We start from the raw sequence: 6,000 nt of genomic DNA, 5'->3' as shown, positions 1-6,000 counted from the left end.
GACCTGAGTTTTAATAACCGGATTTTTGTTTTGTTTTGTTCTTAAGACAGCATCTTGCTGTCACTCTGGCTGGAATGCAGTGGTGCAGTCACGACTCACTACAGCCCCCACTTCCCACCTCGGCCTCCCAAGTAGCTGGGACTACAGACTACAGGCATGTGCCACCATACTTGGCTAATTTTTTTTTTTTTTTTGTAAAGATGGGGTTTTGCCTTCTTGCTCAGACTGATCTTGAACTCCTGGGCTTAAGTAATCCACTTACCTTGGCCTCCCAAAGTGCTGGGATTACACGCATGAGCCACTGCGCCCAGCCTTAATGACCTGATTTTGATTTGGTTACCTCTGTAATCAAGGATCTGTCTCCAGTAAGATCTGAGACCACATTCCTGAGGTGCTGGGGGTTGGGACTTCTGTGCAGCAATTTTAGAGGACACAATTCAACCCATTGCAGGGAGCAGGAGAGTGCCTGAGTGCTTAGTTCAGAAAAGAGCAATGCAAACAACCCGCAAAAGACACTGCTGGGGGTCAGCGTAGAAGGGTGGGCAGGGACTTGGCCCAGCTTCCCTCTCTCTCAGAGAAACCCTCCCTCACCACTCTATCTCCTCACTTGGGCCTCCCGGACTGATTTGCCTTCTAAGTATTGGGAGGGTGAAGGGTCAAAGTGTCACGTGACCCTGCTGCAGGGGCACTAGGCACCTCCTAGTCTAACTGGGTGGCACTGCCTGGGTATCACTCCTGCACCACGTGGCGGTCTGTGGAGGGGCAGTCCTGAGGAGAGAGAGTGGGGTCTGCATGGTGGTGCCCTCAGTTACAAAGCAGGTGGCCTGCTGGAGTCTGGGCAAGCTCCCGTCCTCCACCCTATGGTGGGTGGAGAAGAGGAGGGGCAGGAGCACCGGAGACAAAAGACCTCATGGAATACCCAGGCCAGGTGGGTGGAGCCTTGTTCCTGTGATTGACAAGAGCAGGGGCTGCCTCCCTCCTGCCCCTGCCCATGCCCAGGGATCCACCAGGTAGGAGTGTGTGGGTGTATGTGCATGTGAGTGTATGAGAGAGTGTGTGTGTGTTAGTGTATGAGAGTGTGAGTATGAGAGTGTGTGTGTGCACGCTTGTATGTGTGTGTGTGGGGGCAAGGGGTTCAGGCCTGCTGCTGGCCAGGTGTGCATCCATATTTATCAGGGGAGAGTCCCTGGAAGGCAGCCGGATGCTGAGCACTTGAGGCAATCTGCTTGGACCAGCTGCTCTGTTCCTGGCCAGACACTGGGAGGAGGAGATTTGGGATGTCAGCCTAAACAGTGGTACCCTGGTCTGTAATGTTTGCTGATTTCTGAGGTGTAAATACCTCTACCATGGCTGAGTTCAAGCTACCAACATGAAGCTAACAGGAATTTCAGGAATTCCTGAAATTCCACACGGTGGCCCATCCCCCTTGGTGTAGGGAAGAAACTGGCCCAGAGGTGGAAGGGCCCGTGGTCACATAGCAGGATGATGAGGGGCTCAGCTGGATGATGTTGCCAGACTGCACTGGAGTGTCTGTCTGTCTTCCTGGTGTCACCATTGATAATGGGTGCTCTGTGACAGTGGGGCAGGATGATGAGGGGTCACTGTGGGCGCCATCCAGCCTGTGCCAATAATGACCCAAGGACACCACAGAGCACCAGGTAGTTTAGCAAGTGCTTTCTTACCTGCTCTTTCTAAATAAAATTTTCACAGCCACGCAGCAGAGCATCTATTGTTACATTTTGCAGATGAGGAGACTGAGGTTCAGAGCGATGATACGATTTCCCCAGGGTCATATGACCAGTACATGGCTGTGCATTCACCCAAACCTAGGTCTTCTGAGGCCAGTCCTGGTTCTTACCACTGGCCCAGGATGCTGAGGTCACGATGCCTTCCCCTCAGTGTGGCCTCTCCAGGGGCCCGATGACCCTCCATCTATAAGACCTAGAGGTGGAGGTGGGGTGTGCATGCCCTGTGCCTTCCACTCTATCAGGCATGGGAGGGTCTCATAAGCACCTGCTGTTGGGTAATCCGACCCTTGGGAAATGGGCAGGTGGCTCAGCTTTGGCTTCCACTTCTCCCCGAGGACGGGGCCAATCCCGTCCACCTGTTTTCTTCTCAGCCAGAGACCCCCACCCCCCAACCGGCTGTCCCCACCACTCAGCCTTAACCCTTCCACCCCCACAACCTCTCAAGCCTTTTTTCCAACTGCCCCTGGACCACACAGGTCCCTCACAGGCTGGCCTGTGACAGGTGAGGAAGATGTGCATGCATGTGGGGGTGGTGTAGTGTGTGCGTGTGTGTGTGGTTTATTTTATTTTATTTTATTTTTTAACCGTAGCTCCATTCCTGGAACAAGATCTCTTCTGGATCCAGGATGAGATACACATGGAGATCTCAGAAGTGTCTGAGTCTCCCAGGCGTGGCCCAGCGTGTGGAAGGGGACTGCAGCTGGTTTGGGAGATAGGCCAATAGACAGACCAACAGAGGGTAGAAAAGAAAGACAGTGAGGAATAGAGACATCAAGATAGAATATGTTAGAGAAATAGTAAAAAGCAGATAACCAGAGCTCATATGTGCCAGATATTGTGCCGAGTCCTTACTCTATAACCCTCTGAGGTATGCACTACTTTACCTCCATTTTACAGTTGATCCAGAGAAGTTAAGTATCTTGCCCAAGGTCACACAGCTAGTGGGTGGTTAGAGTATAATTCAAACCCATTATGTCTGTTCTTACCCATTACACTACCAGGTCTCACTGCTAAGGAGAGGGAAGCCAGGAGACAAGGAGATGGAGAGGCGGGAGGTTGAGAAGCCGGGTGTCCATTCCAACACTCTTATATGCCTGGGGGGCAGTTTGGGGTGCCATGCTTGAGAGGCAGTGCAACGTACCAAGGAGGAGAAGCACCTGGCAAGGAGTAGGATAGTTCTTGCCAGCTGTGTGACCTTGGGCAAATCACTGTACCTCTCTGGGTCTTGGATTCTTCAGCTGAAAAACAGAATAATAATTCTGCCCTGTCTTTCTCTCAGGCTGGTCCTAATGGTAATAAGAAGTGATGGATGTGATTATACAATTGTTTATCTAATAAAATATACTGAGCATCCACCACTTGTCAGGCACGGGGAATAAGAATGAGAACAGGTCAAACACTGTCCCAGTTCTTTGTGGGGCTTCCAGTCTGGAGGGTGATACAGGTCCCTGCAATAGAGAGGGTTATGTGCAAAGTCCAGGAAGTGACAGGAGTTGAAAGAGGGGCACTTAACCCAGTTTAGGGGGTCAGGAAAGGCTCCCTGGAGGAAGTGACACTGAAGCTGAGACAGGATGATAAGTAGGAGCTGGTTATGGCAAAGGTTTGGTTGGGGAACAAGGAGGGTGTTCCAGGAGAGAGCAGAGAGGATGGTAAAGGAATTGGATTCAGCTGTATAATGAAGCGCCTCCTTTTATTTGCCTAAAACACACCTTGGTCAAATTTTAAAGGTGGTCTTGAGCTCTAGTATTTGGATTTGTGTCCAAAGACTTCTTAGCCTAACTGAAGGTGGTCAAAGTTTTTTTCCTCTTCTAGAAGTTTAGAGTTTTAGCTCTTACATGTAGGTCTATGATTCATTTCAAGTTAACTTTTGTATAAGGTGTAAGATCTATGTTGAGGTTCTTTTTTCTTTCCTTTTCTTTTTGTATGTAAATGTCAAATTGTCCACCACAGTTTGTTAAAAAGACTTTCCTTTCCCATTGAATTACCTTGGTACCTTTGTCAAAAATCAGTTGACCATATATGTTGGGTATATTTCTGGACTCTTCTATTTCATCGATCTATATGTCTATCCTCACCCCGATACCACACTGACATGATTACTGTGGCTTTACAGTAAGTCTTGAAATTAAGTAGTACAAGGCTTCCAACTGTCTTCTCCTTATTCTAAGTCTTTGTATTTCCTTTAGAATTAGATTGCCAATTTCTAAAAAACTAACAAAACCCAGTCTACTGGTCTTTTGATTATGTATGCATTGACTCTATAGACGATTTTGGGGAGAATTAGCATCTTAACAATATTGAATATTCTGATCCATGAATGTGTTACATCTCTCTATTTATTGAGGCTTTCTTTTTCTCAGCAATGTTTCCTAGTTGTCAGTGTACAGATTTTACAGAAATTTTCTTAAATTTATGCTTGATTTTTAAAGTAGTATTTAAAAAATTTTATTTCCAATTTTTTATTGCTAGTACATAGAAATACAGTTTTTAAAAAATTGGCCTTATATCCTGTATCTTGATTAATCTCGTTTATTCTAGTAGTTTTTTTTTTTGTAGACTATTTGAACTATTTTTTAGAGATCATCTCATTGTGTGGTAAAGACAGTTTTACCTACAACAAACCCCCATGACACAAGTTTACCTATGTAATAAACCTGCACATGTACCCCTGAACTTAAAAGTTAAAAAAAGAAAACTTGAAAAAAAGACAGTGTTACCATCTCTTTCAAATCTATTTCTTTTTCTTGCCTTATTTCACTGGCTAAGGTTACCTATACTATATTAAATAGAAGTGATGAGAGCAGATATCCTTAATTTGTTCCCAATTTAAGTGAAAAGCATTCAGTCTTTCACCGTTAAGTATGATGTTAGCTGCAGGGTTTAAAAAATGCCCTTTATGGATTTAAGAATGTTCTCTTCTATTCCTAGTTTGCTGAGAGTTTTTTTATATCACACGTAGGTGTTAAATTTTTTCAAATGATTTTTCTGTATCTATTGAGATGATTATATGTTGTATTTGTTTTTAGTTTGTTAATGATATGGTTTGGCTATGTGCCCACCCAAATCTGGTCTTCAATTCACCCACATGTTGTGGGAGGGACCTGGTGGGAGGTAATTGAATCATGAGGGCAGGTCTTGCCCATGCTGTTCTTGTGATAGTCTCATGAGATCTGATGATTATAAGGTGGGGGTGGGGGTGGAGGGGAGCGGGGACGGAGTTTTCCTGCACAAGCTTTTTTTTGCTTGCTGCCATCCATGTAAGATGTTGCTTCTCCTTCTGCCATGATTGTGAGGTTTTCCCAGACACGTGGAACTGTAAGTCCAATTAAACCTCTTTCTTTTGTAAATTGCCCCATCTTGGGTATGTCTTCATCAGCAGCATGAAAACAAACCATCAGGAAACCACTTATTAGGTGCACACACATTTATGATTATGTTTCCTTGAGTAATTGACCTCTTTATGAAATGTCCCTCTTTATCAGGTAATATTCCTTATCCTGCAAACTACACTTTGTCTGGTATTAATATATCAGTGCTTTCTTTTGAACAATGCTTACTTGGTATGTTTTCCATCATTTTACTTATAATCTAGCTGTGCCTTTTTCTTCCAAGTATTGAGTCTTGCTTTTTAATCCAGTTTAATCTGTCTTTTAATTTGGGTGTTTAGATCATTTATGTTTAGTGTAATTATGTACATAGCTGGGTTTAAATTTACCTCCTTGCTCTGTTTTTTTGGCCATATCTGTTATTTGTTCTTAGTTTTCTGTTGTCTTTTAGATTGAATTTTTAAAAATTTCATTCATTTTATCTATCTGCACTACTGAAACCTAGTACTTTTAATTTCTGTCCCTCTCTCTCTTATGAAGACCTTCTAACAGAGCTTTAGGGGATGAAGTGGGCTGCCTGGGGATGTGGTAAAGAAAATAATGCTTTAAAATATGTCTCAACTCTTGAGATAAATAGCTACCTTCTGGACTCAAATGCCTGGCACAATTTATATAGCTCCTTCCTCTGTCTTCCACTTTTCTGAGGTGTATCGCCACCTCAGCTTATGGGAATCTTTAGGATGGCATAAGCCGTGTCACTAAAGCCAGAGAAAGAGACCTAAATGTAAGATTTGTAGAGCTCTTGGTCCCTCCCTTTCATTCTGAGGGACAAATATCTTTTACAGTGATTGCCAGGGAAGTGGGCTATAGCATAGCGAAAAGATTCACCCTCTTTTCTTTGAAACAGGGTGTAATTCTATCACCCA

The 6,000-nt window shown here is 44.5% G+C and overlaps 2 annotated features.

The window, feature by feature from the left end:
- Window positions 263–824: an enhancer, noted in NCBI's record as "H3K27ac-H3K4me1 hESC enhancer chr11:116558904-116559465 (GRCh37/hg19 assembly coordinates)". NCBI's record gives its function as "activates a minimal SCP1, AML or CMV promoter by ChIP-STARR-seq in primed H9 embryonic stem cells {active_cell/tissue: H9 hESC(primed)}" and the evidence as "EXISTENCE:reporter gene assay evidence [ECO:0000049][PMID:30033119]".
- Window positions 825–1,387: an enhancer, noted in NCBI's record as "H3K27ac-H3K4me1 hESC enhancer chr11:116558341-116558903 (GRCh37/hg19 assembly coordinates)". NCBI's record gives its function as "activates a minimal SCP1, AML or CMV promoter by ChIP-STARR-seq in primed H9 embryonic stem cells {active_cell/tissue: H9 hESC(primed)}" and the evidence as "EXISTENCE:reporter gene assay evidence [ECO:0000049][PMID:30033119]".

Source organism: Homo sapiens, chromosome 11, assembly GCF_000001405.40.
Source record: "Homo sapiens chromosome 11, GRCh38.p14 Primary Assembly".
In the NCBI taxonomy this organism is placed as follows: Eukaryota; Metazoa; Chordata; class Mammalia; order Primates; family Hominidae; genus Homo; species Homo sapiens.
Note: the sequence above shows the minus strand (reverse complement) of the source record. Positions and strands in the feature narration are given on the sequence as shown.